The sequence below is a fragment of the Homo sapiens genome, chromosome 14, assembly GCF_000001405.40.
Source record: "Homo sapiens chromosome 14, GRCh38.p14 Primary Assembly".
Taxonomy (NCBI): Eukaryota; Metazoa; Chordata; class Mammalia; order Primates; family Hominidae; genus Homo; species Homo sapiens.
This window is the reverse complement of record NC_000014.9, coordinates 105,718,511-105,744,397: the sequence shown is the minus strand read 5'-3', so window position 1 is coordinate 105,744,397 and position 25,887 is coordinate 105,718,511. Positions and strand designations below refer to the sequence as shown.

At 57.5% G+C, this 25,887-nt stretch overlaps 1 pseudogene, 1 gene segment (V, D, J or C) and 1 further gene; all 3 read left to right on the top strand.

Moving 5' to 3' along the window:
- The window catches only part of IGH (immunoglobulin heavy locus), a 1,293,408-nt gene that overhangs the window by 1,135,447 nt on the left and 132,074 nt on the right, over positions 1-25,887 (top strand).
- Positions 1,328-2,925, top strand: IGHG1 (immunoglobulin heavy constant gamma 1 (G1m marker)). The segment is given in 4 exon segments: positions 1,328-1,621; positions 2,013-2,057; positions 2,176-2,505; positions 2,603-2,925. Coding segments are annotated over 4 exon segments (992 nt in total).
- Positions 21,871-22,604, top strand: IGHEP1 (immunoglobulin heavy constant epsilon P1 (pseudogene); annotated as a pseudogene). Its single transcript is given in 2 exon segments — positions 21,871-22,189; positions 22,273-22,604. Coding segments are annotated over 2 exon segments (651 nt in total).

Sequence of the window (25,887 nt, the reverse complement as noted above, 5' to 3'; positions counted from 1 at the left end):
CCAGCGGACCCTGGGCAGGAAGGCCTCTGAGGCTGGCGCCCCAGAAGGAGCAAGATGGGCTGCCAGGAGCCAGGGCCACCAGCACAATGAAGCTGAGTGGAGGTGGTGCAGGGCAGTGTAGCAGCAGAGGGCAGCCAGAGGGGCCCATTCAGGGCCTGGGCAGAGTCAGCCAGAGCCTGTGGTGCAGGTGAGGGGAAGGGGTGGTGAGCGGGGCCCTGGGGCTGAGCAGAGGGGATGGCCTGGCTGAGGGCAGGGCGCTTAGCCTCCTCAGAGGTCAGGGGCACACCCCACCTGCAGTGGGACTCCAGGGCCACTGGGCCAGCGGCAGAGAGAAATGGGGCCTCCCTGTGGCCTGGGGGTCCTGGCACCATGCAGGGTGGGGAGGGCCAAGGGCAGGTGCAAGGCTCCTACCTGTGCTGGGGGGCCTGGGTTGAGCCCAGCAGGGACCTTGCCGGGGGAAGCTCTGGAGAGAGGGAGGAGGTGGGCTGGTGGCCGAGAAGGCCAGGCCAGGGCTGGGAGGGTGACGGTGTGGTGACTGAGCCTCCAGAAGTAATGCAGGACACTGGGAGGCAGGGGGCATCCAGGCACTCAGGGCCCTGACCTGGGCTGCTGCACACTGGGGCTAAGGGGAAAGGAGGGGAGAGGCTGAGGAGGAGGCTCCAGGAGGCTATTCCAAGGCAGGGGGTTCCGGGGCCCTGGGGCTGAAGGGCGCCGACCCTATGCAGTGTCTGGCCCCTCTGCTGCACAGAAGAAAAGGGCCTTGGAGGGCAGAGGGCAGGCTATGACCAGGGCCCTGGGCAAGTCAGGCCAACTCACTAGGGGAGGGCCACGCTGGGGCGGCAGGGTCAGGGGCTTCAGGGGGCTCGGGGGACCCACGAGAAGCCATCTGAGAACAGTGTCCACTGGTCAAGCCAGGCACCCATAAAAGGCTGGAGTGGGGCCAATGGGCATGAGCCGTCCCTGAGGTGGCACCGATGGCCAGAGCTGAGGCCAAGCTAGAGGCCCTGGACTGTGCTGACTCCCGGCAGACACAGAGCGCTGACCTGGCTGCCGAGCCCCGCCTCCTAGGCTGCAGGGGTGCCTGCAGAAGGGCACCACAGGGCCACCGGTCCTGCAAGCTTTCTGGGGCAGGCCGGGCCTGACCTTGGCTTTGGGGCAGGGGGTGGGCTAAGGTGACGCAGGTGGCGCCAGCCAGGCGCACACCCAATGCCCGTGAGCCCAGACACTGGACGCTGAACCTCGCGGACAGTTAAGAACCCAGGGGCCTCTGCGCCCTGGGCCCAGCTCTGTCCCACACCGCGGTCACATGGCACCACCTCTCTTGCAGCCTCCACCAAGGGCCCATCGGTCTTCCCCCTGGCACCCTCCTCCAAGAGCACCTCTGGGGGCACAGCAGCCCTGGGCTGCCTGGTCAAGGACTACTTCCCCGAACCGGTGACGGTGTCGTGGAACTCAGGCGCCCTGACCAGCGGCGTGCACACCTTCCCGGCTGTCCTACAGTCCTCAGGACTCTACTCCCTCAGCAGCGTGGTGACCGTGCCCTCCAGCAGCTTGGGCACCCAGACCTACATCTGCAACGTGAATCACAAGCCCAGCAACACCAAGGTGGACAAGAAAGTTGGTGAGAGGCCAGCACAGGGAGGGAGGGTGTCTGCTGGAAGCCAGGCTCAGCGCTCCTGCCTGGACGCATCCCGGCTATGCAGCCCCAGTCCAGGGCAGCAAGGCAGGCCCCGTCTGCCTCTTCACCCGGAGGCCTCTGCCCGCCCCACTCATGCTCAGGGAGAGGGTCTTCTGGCTTTTTCCCCAGGCTCTGGGCAGGCACAGGCTAGGTGCCCCTAACCCAGGCCCTGCACACAAAGGGGCAGGTGCTGGGCTCAGACCTGCCAAGAGCCATATCCGGGAGGACCCTGCCCCTGACCTAAGCCCACCCCAAAGGCCAAACTCTCCACTCCCTCAGCTCGGACACCTTCTCTCCTCCCAGATTCCAGTAACTCCCAATCTTCTCTCTGCAGAGCCCAAATCTTGTGACAAAACTCACACATGCCCACCGTGCCCAGGTAAGCCAGCCCAGGCCTCGCCCTCCAGCTCAAGGCGGGACAGGTGCCCTAGAGTAGCCTGCATCCAGGGACAGGCCCCAGCCGGGTGCTGACACGTCCACCTCCATCTCTTCCTCAGCACCTGAACTCCTGGGGGGACCGTCAGTCTTCCTCTTCCCCCCAAAACCCAAGGACACCCTCATGATCTCCCGGACCCCTGAGGTCACATGCGTGGTGGTGGACGTGAGCCACGAAGACCCTGAGGTCAAGTTCAACTGGTACGTGGACGGCGTGGAGGTGCATAATGCCAAGACAAAGCCGCGGGAGGAGCAGTACAACAGCACGTACCGTGTGGTCAGCGTCCTCACCGTCCTGCACCAGGACTGGCTGAATGGCAAGGAGTACAAGTGCAAGGTCTCCAACAAAGCCCTCCCAGCCCCCATCGAGAAAACCATCTCCAAAGCCAAAGGTGGGACCCGTGGGGTGCGAGGGCCACATGGACAGAGGCCGGCTCGGCCCACCCTCTGCCCTGAGAGTGACCGCTGTACCAACCTCTGTCCCTACAGGGCAGCCCCGAGAACCACAGGTGTACACCCTGCCCCCATCCCGGGATGAGCTGACCAAGAACCAGGTCAGCCTGACCTGCCTGGTCAAAGGCTTCTATCCCAGCGACATCGCCGTGGAGTGGGAGAGCAATGGGCAGCCGGAGAACAACTACAAGACCACGCCTCCCGTGCTGGACTCCGACGGCTCCTTCTTCCTCTACAGCAAGCTCACCGTGGACAAGAGCAGGTGGCAGCAGGGGAACGTCTTCTCATGCTCCGTGATGCATGAGGCTCTGCACAACCACTACACACAGAAGAGCCTCTCCCTGTCTCCGGGTAAATGAGTGCCACGGCCGGCAAGCCCCCGCTCCCCAGGCTCTCGGGGTCGCGCGAGGATGCTTGGCACGTACCCCGTGTACATACTTCCCAGGCACCCAGCATGGAAATAAAGCACCCAGCGCTTCCCTGGGCCCCTGCGAGACTGTGATGGTTCTTTCCACGGGTCAGGCCGAGTCTGAGGCCTGAGTGGCATGAGGGAGGCAGAGTGGGTCCCACTGTCCCCACACTGGCCCAGGCTGTGCAGGTGTGCCTGGGCCGCCTAGGGTGGGGCTCAGCCAGGGGCTGCCCTCGGCAGGGTGGGGGATTTGCCAGCGTGGCCCTCCCTCCAGCAGCAGCTGCCCTGGGCTGGGCCACGAGAAGCCCTAGGAGCCCCTGGGGACAGACACACAGCCCCTGCCTCTGTAGGAGACTGTCCTGTTCTGTGAGCGCCCTGTCCTCCGACCCGCATGCCCACTCGGGGGCATGCCTAGTCCATGTGCGTAGGGACAGGCCCTCCCTCACCCATCTACCCCCACGGCACTAACCCCTGGCAGCCCTGCCCAGCCTCGCACCCGCATGGGGACACAACCGACTCCGGGGACATGCACTCTCGGGCCCTGTGGAGAGACTGGTCCAGATGCCCACACACACACTCAGCCCAGACCCGTTCAACAAACCCCGCACTGAGGTTGGCCGGCCACACGGCCACCACACACACACGTGCACGCCTCACACACGGAGCCTCACCCGGGCGAACCGCACAGCACCCAGACCAGAGCAAGGTCCTCGCACACGTGAACACTCCTCGGACACAGGCCCCCACGAGCCCCACGCGGCACCTCAAGGCCCACGAGCCGCTCGGCAGCTTCTCCACATGCTGACCTGCTCAGACAAACCCAGCCCTCCTCTCACAAGGTGCCCCTGCAGCCGCCACACACACACAGGGGATCACACACCACGTCACGTCCCTGGCCCTGGCCCACTTCCCAGTGCCGCCCTTCCCTGCAGCTGGGGTCACATGAGGTGTGGGCTTCACCATCCTCCTGCCCTCTGGGCCTCAGGGAGGGACACGGGAGACGGGGAGCGGGTCCTGCTGAGGGCCAGGTCGCTATCTAGGGCCGGGTGTCTGGCTGAGCCCCGGGGCCAAAGCTGGTGCCCAGGGCGGGCAGCTGTGGGGAGCTGACCTCAGGACATTGTTGGCCCATCCCGGCCGGGCCCTACATCCTGGGTCCTGCCACAGAGGGAATCACCCCCAGAGGCCCAAGCCCAGGGGGACACAGCACTGACCACCCCCTTCCTGTCCAGAGCTGCAACTGGAGGAGAGCTGTGCGGAGGCGCAGGACGGGGAGCTGGACGGGCTGTGGACGACCATCACCATCTTCATCACACTCTTCCTGTTAAGCGTGTGCTACAGTGCCACCGTCACCTTCTTCAAGGTCGGCCGCACGTTGTCCCCAGCTGTCCTTGACATTGTCCCCCATGCTGTCACAAACTGTCTCTGACACTGTCCCACAGGCTGTCCCCACCTGTCCCTGACGCTGTCCCCCATGCTCTCACAAACTGTCCCTGACATTGTCCCCAATGCTGCCCCCACCTGTCCAACAGTGTCCCCCAGGCTCTCCCCACATGTCCCCGACACTGTCCCCCATGCTGTCCCCATCTGTCCCCAACACTGTCCCCCACCCTGTCCCCCTTTGTCCCCAACACTGTCCCCCACAGTTTCCACCTGTCCCTGACACTGTCCCCCATGCTTTCCCCACCTGTCCCTGACACCATCCCCCACTCTGTCCCCTATAGTTCCTGGCCCTGTCCCCCACGCTGTCCCCTACAGTACCTGGCACTGTCCCCCATGCTGTCCCCTCCTGTATGAAACCCTGTCCCACATGCTGTCCCCACCTGTCCGTGACAATATCCCCCACACTGTCCCCACCTGTCCCCGACACTCTCCTCCACGTTGTTCTTACCTAAACCCGACACTTTCCTCCATGCTGTCCCCACCCATCTCCGACACTGTACCCCACGTTGTCCCCACCTGTCCTCAACACTGTCCCCCATGCTGTCCCCACCTGTCCCCAACACTCTCCTCCATGCTGTCCCCACCTGTCCCTGATATTGTCCCCCATGCAGTCTCCACCTGTCCCCAATGCTGTCCCCCAGGCTGTACCTACCAGTACAACACTGTCCCCCATGCTGTCCCCACCTGTCCCTGACACTGTCCCCCACGCTGTCCCCTCCTGTCCCCGACACTGTCCCCCACACTGTCCCCACCTGTCCCCAACACTATCCTCCATGCTGTCCCCTCCTGTCCCCACCTGTCCCCTACACTGTCCCCCATGCTGTCCCCACCAGTCCCCAAAACTTTCCTCCACACTGTCCCCACCTGTCCCCAACACTGTCCCCCACGCTATCCCCCCTGTCCCCGACAATGTCCCCACTGTTTCCTCCTGTTCCCTCCTATCCCTGACACTGTCCGCCATGCTGTCCCCACCTGTCCCTGACACTGTCTCCCACTCTGTCCCCTATAATCCCTGACACTGTCCCCCACGCCGTCCCCTCCCGTATGCACCACTGTCCCCCAAGCTGTCCCCACCTGTCCTCAACACAGTCCCCCATGCTGTCCCCACCTGTCCCCAACACTCTCCTCCATGTCCCCACCTGTCCCTGATATTGTCCCCCATGCAGTCCCCACCTGTCCCCGATGCTGTCCCCCGGGCTGTACCTACCAGTCCAACACTGTCCCCCACACTCTCCCCACCTGTCCCTGATACTGTCCCCCATGCTGTCCCCACCTGTCCCGGACACTGTTCTCCACGCTCTCCCCTCCTGTCCCTGACACTGTCCCCCACACTGTCCCCACCTGTCCCCAACACTATCCTCCATCCTGTCCCAACCTGTCTCCTACACTGTCCCCCATGCTGTCCCCACCAGTCCCCAACACTGTCCTCCATGCTGTCCCCCATGTCCCCAACACTGTCCCCCATGCTATCTCCCCTGTCCCTGACAATGTCCCCACTGTTTCCTGTCCCCTCCTATCCCTGACACTGTCCCCCATGCTGTCCCCACCTGTCCCCCACATGGTCTCCACCGGTCCCTGACACTGTCTCCCACTCTGTCCCCTATAATCCCTGACACTGTCCCCCACACCGTCCCCTCCTGTATGCACCACTGTCCCCCATGCTGTCCCCACCTGTCCCTGATGCTGTCCTCCACACAGTCCCCACCTCTCCCTGACACTGTCCCCATCTCTCCCCAACACTCTCCTCCATGCTGTCCTTAACTGTCCCCAACACTCTTCCACACTCTGTCTCCACCTGTCCCTGACACTGTCCCCCACACTGTCCTCACCTGTGTCTGACACTGTCCCCCACGCTGTCCCCACCTGTCCCTGACGCTGTCTTCTGTGCTGTCCACATGCTGTTGGTGCCCTGGCTCTGCTCTCTATCACCAAGCCTCAGAGCAGGCAGTGGTGAGGCCATGGCACCTGGGTGGCATGAGGGGCCGGATGGGCCTCAGGGGCAGGGCTGTGGCCTGCGTGGACTGACGGGTGGGTGGGCCTTGGGGGCAGAGAGGTGGCCTCAGTGCCCTGAGGGGTGGGTGGGGCTCGGGGGCAGGGCTGTGGCCTCGCTCACCCCTGTGCTGTGCCTTGCCTACAGGTGAAGTGGATCTTCTCCTCGGTGGTGGACCTGAAGCAGACCATCATCCCCGACTACAGGAACATGATCGGACAGGGGGCCTAGGGCCACCCTCTGCGGGGTGTCCAGGGCCGCCCAGACCCCACACACCAGCCATGGGCCATGCTCAGCCACCACCCAGGCCACACCTGCCCCCGACCTCACCGCCCTCAACCCCATGACTCTCTGGCCTCGCAGTTGCCCTCTGACCCTGACACACCTGACACGCCCCCCTTCCAGACCCTGTGCATAGCAGGTCTACCCCAGACCTCCGCTGCTTGGTGCATGCAGGGCACTGGGGGCCAGGTGTCCCCTCAGCAGGACGTCCTTGCCCTCCGGACCACAAGGTGCTCACACAAAAGGAGGCAGTGACCGGTATCCCAGGCCCCCACCCAGGCAGGACCTCGCCCTGGAGCCAACCCCGTCCACGCCAGCCTCCTGAACACAGGCGTGGTTTCCAGATGGTGAGTGGGAGCGTCAGCCGCCAAGGTAGGGAAGCCACAGCACCATCAGGCCCTGTTGGGGAGGCTTCCGAGAGCTGCGAAGGCTCACTCAGACGGCCTTCCTCCCAGCCCGCAGCCAGCCAGCCTCCATTCCGGGCACTCCCGTGAACTCCTGACATGAGGAATGAGGTTGTTCTGATTTCAAGCAAAGAACGCTGCTCTCTGGCTCCTGGGAACAGTCTCAGTGCCAGCACCACCCCTTGGCTGCCTGCCCACACTGCTGGATTCTCGGGTGGAACTGGACCCGCAGGGACAGCCAGCCCCAGAGTCCGCACTGGGGAGAGAAGGGGCCAGGCCCAGGACACTGCCACCTCCCACCCACTCCAGTCCACCGAGATCACTCAGAGAAGAGCCTGGGCCATGTGGCCGCTGCAGGAGCCCCACAGTGCAAGGGTGAGGATAGCCCAAGGAAGGGCTGGGCATCTGCCCAGACAGGCCTCCCAGAGAAGGCTGGTGACCAGGTCCCAGGCGGGCAAGACTCAGCCTTGGTGGGGCCTGAGGACAGAGGAGGCCCAGGAGCATCGGGGAGAGAGGTGGAGGGACACCGGGAGAGCCAGGAGCGTGGACACAGCCAGAACTCATCACAGAGGCTGGCGTCCAGCCCCGGGTCACGTGCAGCAGGAACAAGCAGCCACTCTGGGGGCACCAGGTGGAGAGGCAAGACGACAAAGAGGGTGCCCGTGTTCTTGCGAAAGCAGGGCTGCTGGCCACGAGTGCTGGACAGAGGCCCCCACGCTCTGCTGCCCCCATCACGCCGTTCCGTGACTGTCACGCAGAATCTGCAGACAGGAAGGGAGACTCGAGCGGGAGTGCGGCCAGCGCCTGCCTCGGCCGTCAGGGAGGACTCCTGGGCTCACTCGAAGGAGGTGCCACCATTTCAGCTTTGGTAGCTTTTCTTCTTCTTTTAAATTTTCTAAAGCTCATTAATTGTCTTTGATGTTTCTTTTGTGATGACAATAAAATATCCTTTTTAAGTCTTGTACTTCGTGATGGGAGCCGCCTTCCTGTGTCCACGCGCCTCCTGCCCCCGGTGGAAAACACGGTCAGGAGGAGGCTGGTCCAGCTGCACCTCGGGGGCTCCCTGCATACGCCCCCCGCCTCCTGCAGCCACACGCATTGCCCGAGCGACCCTCCCTGGCCCCTGTCACTACATGGACCCCCGGGGCTTCTCCTCTTTTCTACATGGATGCAGTTTCTCCTCCTGCTGGGCACGGTGCTGCCTGCCCTGGTCACTCTGCGGGGGACAGGGCCTCCAGGGAAAGCTGGGTCGAGGCTGGGAGCTGGCTCAGGCTGGCCAGGCAGAGCCACAGGGAGGGCCTTCCAGAACCAACCATGGTCCGAAGCGAGAGGTGGGTGTCAGATCTGTGTGCGTCAGCTCAGGACCACAGCGGGGCAGCTCCCACGGCAGACATGGATCCTCCCAGGCCTAGAGACCAGGAATCTGAGATCAGGATGCAGGCAGGGCTGGTTTCTCTCAAGCCCTCTCTCCTTGGCTTGTAGACACCGTCTCCTCCCTGGTCCTCACATGGCCATACCTCTGTGTGCCCGTGTCCTAAGCTTCTCTTCTTAGAACACACATCGGATTAGATTAGTGACCCCCTATGAACTTAATGACCTCTGTAAAGACCCCATCTCCAAATAGTCACATTGTGAGGCCAGGGATTAAGACTTGAATATATGAATTTGTAGGGGCCACGATTTAACCCATCACAGTCCAGACTCTGGCCCCCAAAATTCATGTTCTTCTCACATGCAAAACACATTCATCCTGTCTCAGCATCCCCCTGGGCACTAGGTCATGTAGCAAGGACGGATTCTCAACAGAAATAACTATTGCAACGGAAGAAAGAGTCCGGCATGACCTGGACTCACCTTCATCTGTGCAGAGGCCACAGCCTTGTAAAGGGAGGTGGTAGGGGGAGCAGGGTGGGTGCTCGGGGCTCAGTCGTTGGGGAAGGGAAAAGTTTCCCAGCGCTGGTCAGCGTCCCCGGGATGGGACCCGCTGTGTCCGTGCCGGCCACTGTTGAGGTCAGGATTCTGTCCTCCCAGAGCCTGGAGACACAGGCCCCATCCTTCACAAAGGGGACACTTCAGGGAGTGGCTCTCAGGTCCCGAGAAAGACCCTCCTGGGTCACAGGAAATGCACAGACATCAGGAACGGATAGAAGGTCGTGTGGTTGCGGCCCTCTCAGCAGATACCCTGAGAAAGGGAGGTCGGGGTTGGTCCAAACGGTGAGTTCTGGTGCACGGAGCTTTCTCAGGCAGGTGTTGACGGGGCAGGGGTCGGCCTAGGGGTACGGCCAGAAGCTGTTAGAAACTGTTAGTGTCTGCTCAAGTCTTTACAAGCCAAGGTTGAGGCCGAGTGGAGAGGCTCCGAGGAGCCTGGCTGGAACTCAGTCAAGGACAGGGTCTTGTTACTGCAGTGGCTGCGGTGGCTGCGGTGGCTGCGAAATGCCGTCGGAGTTGCCTGTGGCAGGAGAGAGACCATCTCACCCAGGAAGGAGGAGTGGTTGGATTCGTTTGTGTGGCATCGAGCAGCTGGAGCTTCACCAAACACAGAGTTGGGGATGAAATCCCCAGAGCCCGGACCCTGCCATGCCGTGGGAAGGCTCGCTGCTGGAGGGTGGGCTCCAGGGGGCCTGGCCTGAACTGGGTGCTGAAGCCCAGCCCTTTAACTCTCAGGACACGCTGCTGCAGCCCCGCGGGGGGTGAGGGAGACAGCACCTGGGGTGCAGGGCGGGCAGCTGCTGCATCACCGGCTCTATCCCAAGCCCAAGGATGGCGTCCCAGAGATGCAGGAGAGCTTTGTCCAGAGAAGGTGCCAGCCCTCAGGGACCCTGCTGGACAGCTCTCCACCCTCTGCCCTTCAAGGGGCCCTACGGGCCTCCGGGTGCCCTGGTGGGGTGGGCTCCAGTCCACTGTCTGAGGATGGACGGCCTGGCCAGGATAAGGAAAGGAGACCCAGGACGGTGCCGGGCTCCGGGTCATTCCGTGCACTGAGCAGGCTGAGTTGGGAAGAAGCAGATGCTTCCTGCAGCTCCTGCCCCTGCAGGGCCTGGCGCCTGGACCAGGTTCCCCTGGGGAAATTGGGCCCCTCCCTGAGCCACCCGGGGCCCACCTCCCACTTTCTACCTGGGACCGAGCATCCTCCAGAGGGTCAGCCCTCCTGCGGGAACACCATGCCCAGCCCCAGGACCCTCCCTCAACTCTCCAGCAAGGCTGCCCCTGCACGCCCCCAGCAGCCCATGCTGTGATGTAGCATGACATCATGTGATGTGGTGTGATGTCCTATGACAGGGTGACATCCCTGGTGTGATGTGGTGTGATGTGGCGTGATGTCCTTTGTGTGATGTGGTGTTGGACTACATGGTTGGACATAGTGTGATGTGGTGTGACCGAGTGTGACATCCCTGGTGAGATGTGGTGTGACATGGTGTGAGGTGTTGTGACATGGTGTAATGTCCCTGGTGTGAGGTGGTATGACATGGTGTGAGGTGTTGTGACATGGTATAATGTCCCTGGTGTGAGGTGGTGTTGGACATGATGTGATGTGGTGTGACAGAGTGTGATGGGTATGACATCCCTGGTATGATGCGGTATGAGATTATGTGGTATGGTGTGACATGATGTGATGTGGCGTAACATCCTTGGGGTAATGGGGTATGATGTCGTTTGACGGGTGTGGTGGTGTGGGGTGTGATGAGGTGTGGTGTGACATGATGTGACCTGTGACGTGCTGTGTCAGGGTGCCACATCCTTGCTGTGATGTGATGCGGTGTGACACGGTGTGATGTGGCATGATGGGGTGTGACCCGGTACGACATCCCCAGTGTGATGAGTTAATGGTGTGATGTGTGACATCCCTAGTGTGACATAGTGTGATGTGGTGTGATGAAGAGGGCCTCGCCCTCCACAGCTGTGGGTATTTCTCATCAGGTGGAAACACGAGACTGAGAAAAGAAATAAGACACAGAGACAAAGTGCAGAGAAAGAACAGTGAGCCCAGGGGACCGGCACACTCAGCACGCGAGGACCTGCACCGGCACCGGTCTCTGGGTTCCCTCAGTATTTATTGATGACTATTTTCACTATCTCCATACGGGGAGTGCGGCAGGAGAACAGCGTGAACAGGGTGATGATGGGGAGAAGGTCAGCAGGAAAACATGTGAGTAAAGGAATCTGCATCATAAATAACTCCCAGGGAAGGTACCGTGCTGGGATGTACACATAGACTAGATTTATGTTTCTCTTTACCCAAACATCTCAGTGTAGTGAAGAGTAACAGAGCCGTATCACCGCTAGCATATCTTGTCTCCAGCCTTAGGGCGGTTTTCTCCTACCTCAGAATAGAATGAATGGTGGGTGTAAAGCCCAGACATTCCATTCCCAGGGACGTGCAGGAAACAGAGGCCTTCTTCTTATCTCAACCGTAAAGAGGCCTTCCTCTTTTACCAATCCTCCTCAGCACAGACCCTTTACAGGTGTCAGGCTGGGGGACAGTCAGGTCTTTCCCTTGCCATGAGGCCATATCTCAGGCTGTCTCAGTGAGGAGAAACTGGGACAATACCTAGGCTTTCTCCGGCAGAGGTCCCTTCAGCTTTCCGCAGCGTATTCTGTGCCTAGTTAACAGAGAATGGAGAATGGCGATGACTTCTACCAAGCACACTGCCTGCAAACGTATCGTGAACCAGGCACGTCCTGCGCAGCCCTAAACCCCTTAAACCTTGATTCCATGCAGCACAGGTTTCTGTGAGCACAGTGTTGGGGCTAAAGTTACAGGTTAACAGCGTCTCAAAGCAGAACAATTTTTCTTTGTACAGATCAAAATGGAGTTTCTTATGTGTTCCTTTTCTACATAGGCACAGTAACAGTCTGATCTTTCTTTTCCCCAGTGTGACATGGTGTGACGTTCCTGGTGTGATTCTTGTGTTGTGACATTTGTGGTCACCCCAGGATACAGAGGTCTCTGTGGCCAAGGGAAGGGGGAGAATGGAACCATCTGAGCATGTTGACCTGGAGGAATTGGTGGCCCTTGAGTCCACGAAGCCCACCCTTCCAGGTGCCCCTGCCCCACGTGACCCAAGTGGGCTTGCAGAGCAGCAAGCAGGACTCTGGTTAGACAGGAGGAAGGACCTGCCACCACGTGGCCTTGTGAGGAGACAGAGCGAGGCTGTGACCTCGGCGTCCGAGGCAGGCTGAAGAGACGGGCAGAGGGAGGATGCTGGGGAGGCAGGGGTGAGGGGAGTGAGAGCCCAGGTTTCAGCTGAGCCCCTCCACAGGGAAGGAGCCTAGCTGAACACCCATCTCCCCACACACTCCCAACCCTGCCTCTGCCCGACCACCTCCCAGAAGGCACCTCGACCCCTCTGCTACCCACACTCAGCAAGGGGTATGGTGTCCCCACCGAGTCCAGCCAGTGAGGCCCGGCACAGCCACGCCTGTGCCCACCACTCCCATGGCCAAGCTCGCTGCTAACATGGCAGGACAGGGCCAGGCCTGGAGGAGACAGAACATCAGTCCCATGGGGAAGCTCCCTGCTCACACGGCAGGGCCGGGCCTGGAGAAGACAGAACACCCCATCCGGCATGGTACTCAGGCTGCACATGCCTGCCACGAACGGGGGCCACGCGACAATGCTGCCACGCACGGGGGACACACGACAATGCCTGCCATGCATAGTGGCCACACAACAATGCCTGCCACGCGTGGGGGACACGCGACGATGCCTGCCATGCATGGGGACACGTGACACACACATACACACACGGGCCTCACAGGCACACGAATGTTTGCAACCCCAGCACCCACCCAGCACACTCAGGCACAGGCTCCCTGGGCGGGTCACAACCTCACACCTTGAGCTACTCCATGTGCCAGGCTCTTCACCCACGTTCCCGTCCCCGGTGCTAGCTATTGAGCCACACTGTCTTCTCTGTGGATCCCTCCCAGCCCACTCAGCACAATGGACATGCTCTCTACCATCCAGTGACTGCACCGGCCTCTTCCCCTCAGCACCCACGTCTGGCCATCTCCCAGGAAACCCGGACCACCACGGGCAGGGACCACCTTCCTCACTGTCCACATGGACCACCCCACACCTGACCTCAGATGCAGTCACACTACGTCCTGCTTCAATATTGAAAGGGGGAAAAGCTGGAGGAGGGTAAAGATGAAAGAGAAAAAAGCAAGAGGGGAGGGTCACATTCTTCTGAGGCTTTGATTACATCTCACTGAGCCCCCCACGTTGCATGAAAAGGAGGGGTGGAGGGAGCAATTACGCATTCGCCTTGTGCTCACTAAATCTACACTTTATAAGCAAATAAACAGAGTAGAGGAAGAAGTCAAATATGCATTCGTCTCAGGGGTAGGAGGGACGATTTCTTGTCTCATTTTGTCCCATGTCATGAAGACCAGCTGTTAATTTATATTCTCAGGGTGAGGGAGGCCACCTGGGTAGACCTGGCCTATCTGCTGCTGCTATCAGTTTGGAAACAAAAGGAAACGCATGACTTTTTTTTTTTTTCATGACTCAGCTTCCCACCTCAACGGTTCATTTTGGCATAGTGAGTTTGGAGTCCTGAGATTTTATTTTCCTTTCACAATGGTCAAGATCGCACCCTCAGTATTCAGGAGAGCTGGTCCAACCCAGACCCCTGCTGTCCCTGGACACTTGAAATACGTGCTGCAGTCTCTGACACTCTCTCACCATGGTAGAAACTGAGGTCTTGGCGAGTCTGCAGCCCCTGCTCATGGGGACAATGCAGGCTGAAACCCGCATTTCTGACCTCAAAGCTCCTGTTCTTTTCACTCACCCCCACACCACCTCTTTGAGTCCAGAGCTTTGTCCTTGCCTGAGTCCTACCCTCAGGGACAGGGGCCCAACCCAGACACCAACACATCATACCCTGAGAGGGTGCCAGGAGCCCAGAGATGTTTGGAGAGCACAGAAGCCCTGGAGGCTCTGTGGAGATGCTGCACATTTCTCTATTCAACAGATACTCACCAGGTGGCCAGCGGCAGAGATGCCACATGGCATGGAGCTCGCCTTGGCCAACAGGACAGGTGTGGGGTTGGGAGGCCTTCCCACGGCACTCCTTGAAGCAGAGCTGTGGGGAAAAGTTGGGGCCAACCTCAGATCTCCCCATCAACACCGGTTCTCCTGCCCTCCCGGGCCACAGAAAACTAAGCTCCCTGGATACTGCGGCTGGGTGGGGCCATGAGGGAGAAGAAATCACGAGTTAAGAGATCATTTTTTAAAAGTATTATGATCAGGACTCACATAAACATATGACGACACATTTCAGAGATGCTCTTTATCTCATTAATTAAGGTGTTGCAACCAGTTCAAAGTGGAATTCTAAGTACTACACTTACATAATTGATTCAGGAATACTAAAAGGAGTTCATAGATAGATGCAAAACTGGCCTTTTCCCTGGCAGAGGAGGAGCAATTCATTGTCCTTTCAAAGATGAGAACTTGGATTTCTACCAACTCAAAGAGTTTTTGCATTGCTATCAATTATGTACAACTTAGAGCCGTGGTCCCCAACATTTTTGGCACCAGGAACCAGTTCCATGGAAGACAATGTTTCCACAGACCAGGATCGGGGGATGGTTTGGGGACAAAGCTGTTCCACCTCAGATCATTAGGCATTAGGGTGTCATAAGGAGCATGCAACTTAGATCCCGGGAATGTGCAGCTCGCAATAGGGTTCGCTCCTATGAGAATCTAATGCTGCCACTGACCTGACGGGAGGTGGAGCTCCGGCAGGAATGCTCACACACCCCTCACCTCCTGCTCTGTGTCCCAGTTCCTAACAGGCCATGAACTGGTTCCAGTGCATGACCCAGGGGTTGGGGACCCCTGGCTTATAGAGGTGTAAAATAGTTCAAAGGAAATAAAAGATGCAGAGCTCCATAGAATAAAATAACTTGGAAGAGTCTACAAGACGATGCCTTGCTTTCCATGGAAGGCACCAAGTAATCATTTGGTCCATTTCAGTTTTTCTCAATGTTTCCTATAAACATATATAACTGACTGACACAAACAGATCCATAATATAAAGAAGACCCCTGTAAACCAATGAGAAAAAAAAATCAAATAATCTAATGAGGAATAGGCAAGAGAATTGAACAGATGTTTTACAGAAGATATCCAAATAGCCACTAAACATATGAAAACATGTTGAACCACACTAGTCAACAGGGAAATGAAAATGAAAAACCACGTGAGAGAAAGTAGTTCTGATTCCAATAATGCTGGAGCAGCTAATATCAGACCAGCCCTTTGGCAGAAGGCAATTATAAACACTGGAAATGCTGTAAGCACACACAACACCCACACACACCAATTGCAGGCACTGGGACATGACCAGAAGTAGGCAAACACTAGTAAGGATTATTCCGTGAAATATTCGTCTGAAGTCACACCCCAGTGCAGGTAATGGGTGCAGCTAGAGTTTAAGCAGGAAACTGCAGCCCTCCTGGTGAGGAGTGGGATGCAGGGCTGCATTTTCAGAGCAGCTGGAAATGAAGAGAAGATATCCGTAAAGGAGAAGGTCACCGAAGGGAAACCCCACAATCTGCAAGTAAACTCCAGTGAAACCTCTGGCCGATTCCTTAGGTGTGCATGGGTAGGGAAAACTCCAAAGGGTCCAGCAGAAAGCAACACCTGTAAGGTCAAGAGAACTGAGATTCCAGCTACTGCCAACTGCCAGGCAGGCAGACTTGGGAGTTTGAGTCAACTCAAGCTAACTGCTTGCTAACATTGAAAAAAACAATTAATGCTCTGCTAAGAAAGAATGCAAACCCCATAGCCTGTACCACATGTTATCAACAACATCAGGCACACATCCAAAATTACTATGTATGCAAAGAAACATGAAAATGTGATCCAAAGTCAAAAGAAAAAGGGATCAATGGAGATCAACTCCAAGATGACCTAGATGCAGATACAGTTATCAGACAAGGACTTTAAAGAAGTTATGTTAAATATGTTCAAAGACTTAAAGGAAAATATGGTTATCATGAGTGACTAGATGAGGTATCTCTATAAAAAACTGAAAATAGTTACAAGAAGCGAATGAAAATTCTAGAACTAAAAGTATGATTCGGAAATGAAAAACATCATTTGACCAGGCCCAGTGGCTCATACCTGTAATCCTAGCACTTTGGAAGGCCAACAAGGAAGGATCACTTGACCTCAGGAGTTGGAGACCAGCCTGGGCAACATGGTGAAACCCCATCTCTATTTTATTAAAAAAGAAAAGAAAGAGAAAAACATTACCCAAGTTTAATAACAGATTGGACAAGACATAAGAAGGAACAGAAAACTTAAAGATGCATCAATAGAGTATATCAATTCTTTTTAATCCAATCCAAAGAAGAAAGAGAAAAATACTAAAAAATGAAAAGAGATTCATCCTGCTGGAGAAGGCGAAGCATTCTAAAACATGCAAAACTGGAGTCCAGAGGGGGATGTAATACTTCCATGAGAAACGTCAACCCTAAGCTATATGCAAATGTACCTGCGTAGGCTGGTGTGGTGGGCTGATGGCATCTCCCTGGCCAAATGTATGCCCACCTGGAACCTCAGAATGTGACCTTATTTGGAAATGGGGTCTTTACAAATTAGGTTAAGGACTTGAGATGATATCATACTAAATTTTGGATGGATCCCAAGTCCAAACACTGGTGTCCTCATAAGAGGAGAGGACACAGACACACATGGAGGTAAGCCATATGATGACAAAGGAGAAGATGAGGGGTGTGTCAGGAGCCACCTGTGTTTGTCCATTTGCATTACTGTAAAGAAATACCTGAGGCTGAGTAACTTATGAAGGAAAGAGGTTCAATTGGCTCACAGTTCTGCAGGCTGTATAGGAAGTATGGCACCAGCATCTGCTTCTGGCGAGGACCTCAGGAAACTTACAGTCATAGCAGAAGGTGAAGGGAGAGCAGGTATGCCACATGGCAAGAATGGGAGCAAGAGGCTGAGGGGGGGCCCCAGACTTAAACAACTAGACTGTGTGTGAGCTGACTGGGGGAGAATTCACTCATCACCAAGGGGATGATTCTAAATCATTCATGAGGGATCTTCCCCCTTGATCTAATCACCTCCTACCAGGCCCCACTTCCAACACTGGGAATCATATTACAACATGAGATTTGGAGGGGAGAAATATATAAACCATATCCTTCCACCCCTGGTCCCCCAAATCTCATGTTGCAAAATACAATCATGCCTTCTCAACAGTCCCCCAAAGTCTTACCTCATTCCAGAATCAACCCAAATTTCCCAAGTCCCAAGTCTCATCTGAAGATGACTCCCTTCCACCTATCAGCCTATGAAATCAAAGACAAATTATTGACTCCCAAAATACAATGAGAGTGCAGACATTGGGTAAACATTCCCATTCCACAAGGGAGAAGTTGGCAAAAAGAAAGGATCTACATGCCCCATATATGTCAGAAATCCAGCAGGGCAGTCATTAAATCTTAAAGCTCCAAGGTAATCTCCTTTGACTTCATGTCCCATATCCAGGGCACATTGGTGCAGGGGGTGGGCTCCCAAGGCCTTGGAAAACTCTACCCTTGTGGCTTTGGAGGATGTTGCCCCTGTGGCTTCTCTCACATGATAGAGTTGAGTGCCTGTGGCTTTTCCAGATTCAGGGTGCAAACTGCCAGTGGATCCACCATTCTGGGGTCTGGAGGACAGTGGCCCCCTTCCCACAGCTCCACTAGGCAGTGCCCTGGTGGGGACATTATATGGGGGTTCAACCCCACATTCTCTTTGGCACTGCTCTAGTAGAGGTTCTCTGTGAGGGCTCCATGCTGGCAGGAGGCTTCTGTCTGGGCACCTAGGCTTTCTCATACATTTCTGAAATCTAGAGGGAAGATGCCAAGCTTCCTTCACTCCTGTATTCTGGGGGCCTACAGGCTTAACACCAGATGGAAGTCACCAAGGCTTATAGTGGCTTGCACTCTCCAAAGAAGCAGCCTAAGCTATACTTGGGGCCCTTTGAGCCAAGGCTGGAGCCAGAGGAACCAGGATGTGGAGAGCAGTGTCCCAAGGCTGCACAGGCAGCAGTGGCCATGGCCATGGCCCACAAAACCATCCTTTCCCTCTTGGCCTCTGGGCCTGTGATGGGAAAGACCACCTCAGAGATTTCCAAAATGCCTTCAAGGCCTTCTTCCCTTTGTTCTGGATATGAGCACTTAGCTCTCTTTTAGTTATGCTAATCTCTCTAGCAACTGGCTGCTCCATAGCCTACTTATATTTGTCTCCTGAAAATACCTTTTCTTTTCTACCATATGGCCAGGCTGTGAATTTTCCACATTTTTAATGCTCTGCTTCCCTTTGTTGATGAAAAAAGCCAAACTCCATAAAACACTTGAAAAATTGATTCTGAGCCAAATATGAGAGCCATGAACTGTGGCACAGCCTCAAAAGGTCCTGAGAACATGTGTGCAAGGTGCTTGGGTTGCGGCCTGGTTTTATGTTTTAGGGAGACATGAGACATCAATCAATACATGTAAAGTATACATTGGTTTGGTTTGGTTTGGAAAAGCAGGACAATTCAAAGTGGGGAATTCCAAATCATAGGTGGATTTGAAGATTTTCTGATTGGCGATTGGCTGAAAAAGTTAAATTATCTAAAAAGTTGAAGTCAGCGAAAAGCAATGCTTAAGATAAGGGGGTTGTGGAAGCCAAGGTTCTTGTTATGTAGACGAAGCCTCCACGTTCCAGAGAGAAGAGATGGTCAATGTCTCTTATCAGAACCTAAAAGGTGCCAGACTCTTGGATAAATCTCTCCTGAATCAGGAAGAGACCTGGAAAGGGAAAAAGATTCTCAACAGAATATACATTTCCTCCACAAGAGACGGCTTTGCAGGGCCCTTCCAAAATGTGTCAGAGAAACATATTCTGGGATAAAATACTTTAATTTCCTTCCATGCCTGCCACCTGTCATGTGATGCTATACCAGAGTCAGGTTGGGATTTGATACCTTATTGCTACAAAGAGTCTGCTTTGTCAGTCTTAAGCTCCCTGTTTTAATGTTAACACTGGTCAGCTGAGCCTAAGCTCCAACAGGGAGAGGGTATAGTGAGGGAGTCCAAACCACCCTCCCCTTCCTGTCATGGCCTGAACTGGTTTTCCAGGTTTCTTTGGAATCCCCTTGGATTAGCATTTTATTTTTTCATTTGCAACTTTTAAATATAAGTTCCAACTTTAAGTCATTTCTTTGCTCCCATATCTTACCCTAGACTGTTAGAAGCAACCAGGTCACACCTTAGAAACGTCTGCTTAGAAATGTCTTCCCCAGATGCCCTAAGTCATCACTCTTAAGGTCAAACTTCCACAGATCCCTAGGGCATGAACACAATGCAGCCAAGTTGTATCTTAGGATTTAACAAGCGTGACCTTTACTCCAGTTCCCAATAAGTTCCTCATTTCCATCTGAGATTTCATCAGCCTGGCTTTCACAGTGCATATGTCTATCAGCATTTTGGTGACAACCATTTAATAGTCTCTAAGAAATTCCAAACTTTCCCTCATCTTCCTGTCTTCTTCTGAGTCCTCCAAATTCTTCTAACCTCTCTGCCTGTTACCTAATTCCAAAGCTGCTTCCACATTTTCAGGTATCTTTATAGCAATGTTCCACTCCTCAATACCAATGTTCTGTGTTAGTTTGTGTTACTAGAAAAAAAAATACATGAGGCTAGTAATTTATAAAGAAAAGGTGTTTAGGCCAGGCACTGTGGCTCATACCTGTCATCCTAGCATTTTGGGAGGCAGAAGCAGGAGGATCACTTGAGCTCAGAAGTTTGAGACCAGCCTGGGCAACATAGTGAGAACTTGTCTTGAAAAGACAAGAAGAAGGGAAGGGCGGGGGAGAGCAGAAGAGCAGAAGGGAAACACGGCCCTGGCATCTGCTTCTGGTGAGGCCTCAGGGAGATTGCAATCATGGCAGAAGGCGAAGGGGGAGCAGGCATGTCACATGGCAAGAGGGAGCAAGAGAAAAGAAGTGGCACGTCCCAGAATTGTAAACAACGAGCTGTCACAGGGACTAACTGAGGGAGAACTCACTCATCACCTGGGAGATGGTGCTAGGCCATTCATGAGGGGTCCAGCCCCATGATCTAATCACCTCCCACCAGGCCCACCTCCAACACTGGGGCCTGAGAGAGAAGAGAACCTCCCCCAGCACTCGGTGTGCATCGGTAGTGAAGGAGCCTCACCTGAGCCCCCGCTGTTGCTCAATCGAATTCCCAAGAACAGAGAGAAAAGGGAACTTCCAGGGTGGCCCGGGCCTCCAGGGGTTCCCACTCCATTTTTAGCTGAAAGCACTGAGGCAGAGCTCCCCCCACCCAGGCTCCACTGCCCGACACAGAAATAACAACCACGGTTACTGATCATCTGGGAGCTGTCCAGGAACCCGACAGGGAGCCGGACGGGCCACACCAGCCACAGGCACCAAATGGACGACCCGGCGCTTCAGGTATCCCAGCCCACCGGGAGCCCCAATCAAGGGGCCGGCCCAGGCAGCAGTGAGGGAGAGGCTGCCTGGGTCCCTGACAGCGAGGGGACTCCTGGGCCACCCTCACAGCATCAACCAAGCTTCTTAGTTACTGCATGGACTCCAGACGTCCCTTCCCTGCATGGGGACACAGGAAAGCTAGAAACAGCCTAACGCCGACCTGGAGAAGGCAGGGGGCTGGGAATCTTGGCTGGGCCCAAGACTAAGAAGGTCAGAGGCCCCATGCTGGGCAGGGCTAGGCTGGGTGCAGACTGCCTGTCACCCCCAGGACAGGGACAGCCAACCCAGAGCCGGGAGGGAGGGTGGGGAGGCGGCAGCAGGGAGCTGTCCTGAGCTCCACTGCGCAACTGGCTGATCTTGGCAAGTCCGAGCTGGGTGGACTGAGGGGGGCTTGGCTGAGTGGACTAGACTGAGACGGGCCTAACAGACTGAGCTGAGGCGAGCTGGGTGGGCTGAGAGGGCTACCCTGTCCCTTAGAGGACAGGTGGCCAAGCTGGGCTGTCCTGAGCCAGGGCGATCGGGGCTGGCCCGGGCCAGGCGGGTTTAGCTGAGTTGAGTGAGTGGACTGGGTAGAGGGAAATGAGCTAGGCTCAGCTGAGCTAGGCTTGAGCTGGGTTATCCTAAGCCCTAAGGTGGACTGAGCTGGGCTGAGCTGGACTTATCTGGGGAGCAGGGCAAAGTCAGGCTGAGCTGAGGTGGCCTGCCCTGGGTGGTCCAGGATTGAGTTAAGCTGAATTAGGCTGACCTGGACTTGACTGGACTTGGTTGAAATAAGCTGGGCCGACACAGGAGTAGGGACAAGCTACAGTTCTCTACTTAGGATAAAATGGGTGCTCGTGGACTATCCGGGCTGAAGGAGACCAAGCTGGGGTATTACCTGCTGAGCTTACCTGACCTGGCCTGAGTTCAGCAGGGCTGCGCTGAGCTGGACAGACCTGAGCCAAGCTTAGCTGGTTGGGCTGAGTAAGCTGGGCTGAGCTAAATGGGATTGAGCTGAGGAGGGCTAGGCTGGGGGAGAGACCTGACGACGGACAGGGTTAAAAGCTGGAGTGAGCAGGCCTTAAATTATTGAACTAAATTGGGCTGGGGTGATCTGAATTTAGCTGGGATGAGCTGGGCTGGGCTGAACTGTGCCCACGTGAACTGGGCTAAACTAGGCTCGCCTGAGTGGACTCAGCTGGGTTGGTCTCAACTGGGTTCAGCTGAGCTGGGCTCGGCTAGACTACACTGGGTTCAGCTGACACTACACTGGGTTCAACCCGAGAGGGGTGAGCGCCTACCTAAGCCGGCCCAGCCCGTTCGACCTGTTCATCCGCAAGTCGCCCACGATCACCTGTCTGGTGGTGGACCTGGCACCCAGCAAGTGGACCGTGAACCTGACCTGGTCCCGGGCCAGTGGGAAGCCTGTGAACCACTCCACCAGAAAGGAGGAGAAGCAGCGCAATGGCACGTTAACCGTCACGTCCACCCTGCCGGTGGGCACCCGAGACTGGATCGAAGGGGAGACCTACCAGTGCAGGGTGACCCACCCCCACCTGCCCAGGGCCCTCGTGCGGTCCACGACCAAGACCAGCGGTGAGCCACGGGCAGGCCGGGGTCGTGGGGGGAGGGAGGGAGCGAGTGAGCGGGGCCTGGGCTGACCCCACGTCTGGCCACAGGCCCGCGTGCTGCCCCGGAAGTCTATGCGTTTGCGACGCCGGAGTGGCTGGGGAGCCGGGACAAGCGCACCCTCACCTGCCTGATCCAGAACTTCATGCCTGAGGACATCTCGGTGCAGTGGCTGCACAACGAGGTGCAGCTCCCGGACGCCCGGCACAGCACGACGCAGCCCCGCAAGACCAAGGGCTCCGGCTTCTTCATCTTCAGCCGCCTGGAGGTGACCAGGGCCGAGTGGGAGCAGAAAGATGAGTTCATCTGCCGTGCAGTCCATGAGGCAGCGAGCCCCTCACAGACCGTCCAGCGAGCGGTGTCTGTAAATCCCGGTAAATGACGTACTCCTGCCTCCCTCCCTCCCAGGGCTCCGTCCAGCTGTGCAGTGGGGAGGGCTGGCCAGACCTTCTGTCCACTGTTGCAACGACCCCAGGAAGCTACCCCCAATAAACAGTGCCTGCTCAGAGCCCAGGGTACACCCGTTCTTGGGAGCGGGCAGGGCTGTGGGCAGGTGCATCTTGGCACAGAGGAATGGGCCCCCCAGGAGGGGCAGTGGGAGGAGGTGGGCAGGGCTGAGTCCCCCCAGGAGAGGTGGTGGGAGGAGGTGGGCAGGGCTGAGGTGCCACTCATCCATCTGCCTTCGTGTCAGGGTTATTTGTCAAACAGCGTATCTGCAGGGACTCATCACAGCTACCCCGGGCCCTCTCTGCCCCCACTCTCGGTCTACCCCCTCCAAGGAGTCCAAAGACCCAGGGGAGGTCCTCAGGGAAGGGGCAAGGGAGCCCCGACAGCCCTCTCTCTTGGGGGCTTGGCTTCTACCCCCCTGGACAGGAGCCCCTGCACCCCCAGGTATAGATGGGCACACAGGCCCCTCCAGGTAGAAAAACAGCCCTAAGTGAAACCCCCACACAGACACACACGACCCGACAGCCCTCGCCCAAGTCTGTGCCACTGGCGTTCGCCTCTCTGCCCTGTCCCACCTTGCCGAGTCCTGGCCCCAGCACCGGGGCCAGTGGAGCCGAGCCCACTCACACCCCGCAGCCTCCGCCACCCCGCCCTGTGGGCACACCAGGCCCAGGTCAGCAGCCAGGCCCCCTCTCCTACTGCCCCCCACCGCCCCTTGGTCCATCCTGAATCGGCCTCCAGGGGATCGCCAGCCTCACACACCCAGTCTCGCCCACTCACGCCTCACTCAAGGCACAGCTGTGCACACACTAGGCCCCATAGCAACTCCACAGCACCCTGTACCACCACCAGGGCGCCATAGACACCCCACACGTGGTCACACGTGGCCCACACTCCGCCTCCCACCCTGCCTCCAGCGAGGCTACTGCCAAGCCCTTCCTCTGAGCCATACCTGGGCCGCTGGATCCCAGAGAGAAATGGAGAGGCCCTCACGTGGTGTCCTCCAGTCCAACCCTCCCTGTCACCCTGTCAGCAGCACCCCACAGCCAAACACAGGATGGATGCGTGGGCTCCATCCCCCACTCACCCACACCGGAACCCCAGAGCAGGCTACGTGCCCCTCACAGACCTCAAACCCACATGTGCATCTGACACCCCAGATCCAAACGCTCCCCCCGGTCATGCACACCAAGGGCACAGCACCCACCAAATCCACACGGAAACACGGGCACCGGGCACCCCATGAGCACAAAGCCCCTCCATGTCTGAAGACAGTCCCTGCACACCGTCACAGCCATACATTCAGCTTCACTCTCACGTCCCAGCCCACCTGCACCCAGCTCTGGGCCTGGAGCAGCAGAAAGAGGTGTGAGGGCCCGAGGCCGGACCTGCACCTGCTGATGACCCGGGACCAGCAGGCAGCTCACGGTGTTGGGGAAGGGAGTGGAGGGGACTCAGGGCAGGAGCCAGAGGGACCAGGCTGGTGGGCGGGGCCGGGCCGGGGTAGGGCCAGGAGGCAGCTCTGGACACCCACAGGCCTGGGCTCATAGTCCACACCAGGACAGCCCCTCAGAGCACCCATGCAGTGAGTCCCAGGTCTTGGGAGCCAGGCCGCAGAGCTCACGCATCCTTCCGAGGGCCCTGAGTGAGGCGGCCACTCCTGTGCCGAGGGGTTGGGTCCTTCTCTGGGGAGGGCGTGGGGTCTAGAGAGGCGGAGTGGAGGTAACCAGAGGTCAGGAGAGAAGCCGTAAGGAACAGAGGGAAAATGGGGCCAGAGTGGGGGCCCAGGGACGAGAGGTCAGGAGTGGTCGGCCTGGCTCTGGGCCGTTGACTGACTCGGGACCTGGGTGCCCACCCTCAGGGCTGGCTGGCGGCTCCGCGCAGTCCCAGAGGGCCCCGGATAGGGTGCTCTGCCACTCCGGACAGCAGCAGGGACTGCCGAGAGCAGCAGGGGGCTCTGTCCCCCACCCCCGCTGCCACTGTGGAGCCGGGAGGGCTGACTGGCCAGGTCCCCCAGAGCTGGACGTGTGCGTGGAGGAGGCCGAGGGCGAGGCGCCGTGGACGTGGACCGGCCTCTGCATCTTCGCCGCACTCTTCCTGCTCAGCGTGAGCTACAGCGCCGCCATCACGCTCCTCATGGTGGGCACCCACCTCCAGGGGCCCGGCCAGGGCAGGGGGTTGGGCAGAGCCAGCAGAGCGCCCTGACCCACGCCCTCCCCTCAGGTGCAGCGGTTCCTCTCAGCCACGCGGCAGGGGAGGCCCCAGACCTCCCTCGACTACACCAACGTCCTCCAGCCCCACGCCTAGGCCGCGGGCCACTCACGCTCCACCAGGCCCAGCTTTTTCTCTGCCAGCGCCTGAGCCTCCCTCGGGCTGCGCCCTGCCCTGGGTGGGAAAAGGGAAGCAGACAAGAAAAGGGGGCACAAGGTCACTACTGTGGGCTGATGGCCAGTGAACCTGAGCCCAGAGGGGGCCGGCTCAGCCGCAAGGTTAAAGGCGCCGAGAGAACCACCAGTCGCAGCCCCCACCCGAAAACCGTGTCTGTCCCTTCAACAGAGTCATCGAGGAGGGGTGGCTGCTAGCCGTTCTGAGCTCATCCCAGGCCCCTGGGTCTCCGGGTCACTCCCATTCTGACTGTACAATCACCAAAAGCCAAGGAGGGCCCAGCACCCAGCCCAGGACACAGCTGAGTCTGCGTCCAGCCCAACACCAGCCCACGGCCTCACTCCCCAGCCTCGGTCTGACCCTTCTAGCCCTGAGATCCAAGTGCCTGGCATCCCCGTCCCCCAAGCCTCACCCAGACCTTCTTTCCCTTCACCCACCCCTCCTGCCACCCATCCACAGCCCCCATCCCTTCACCCACCCCTCCTGCCATCTATCCTCAGCCCCCATCCCTTCACCCACCCCTCCTGCCATCCATCCACAGCCCCCATCCCTTCACCCACCCCTCCTGCCATCTATCCTCAGCCCCCATCCCTTCACCCACCCCTCCTGCCATCCATCCACAGCCCCCATCCCTTCACCCACCCCTCCTGCCATCTATCCTCAGCCCCCATCCCTTCACCCACCCCTCCTGCCATCCATCCACAGCCCCCATCCCTTCACCCACCCCTCCTGCCATCTATCCTCAGCCCCCATCCCTTCACCCACCCCTCCTGCCATCCATCCACAGCCCCCATCCCTTCACCCACCCCTCCTGCCATCTATCCTCAGCCCCC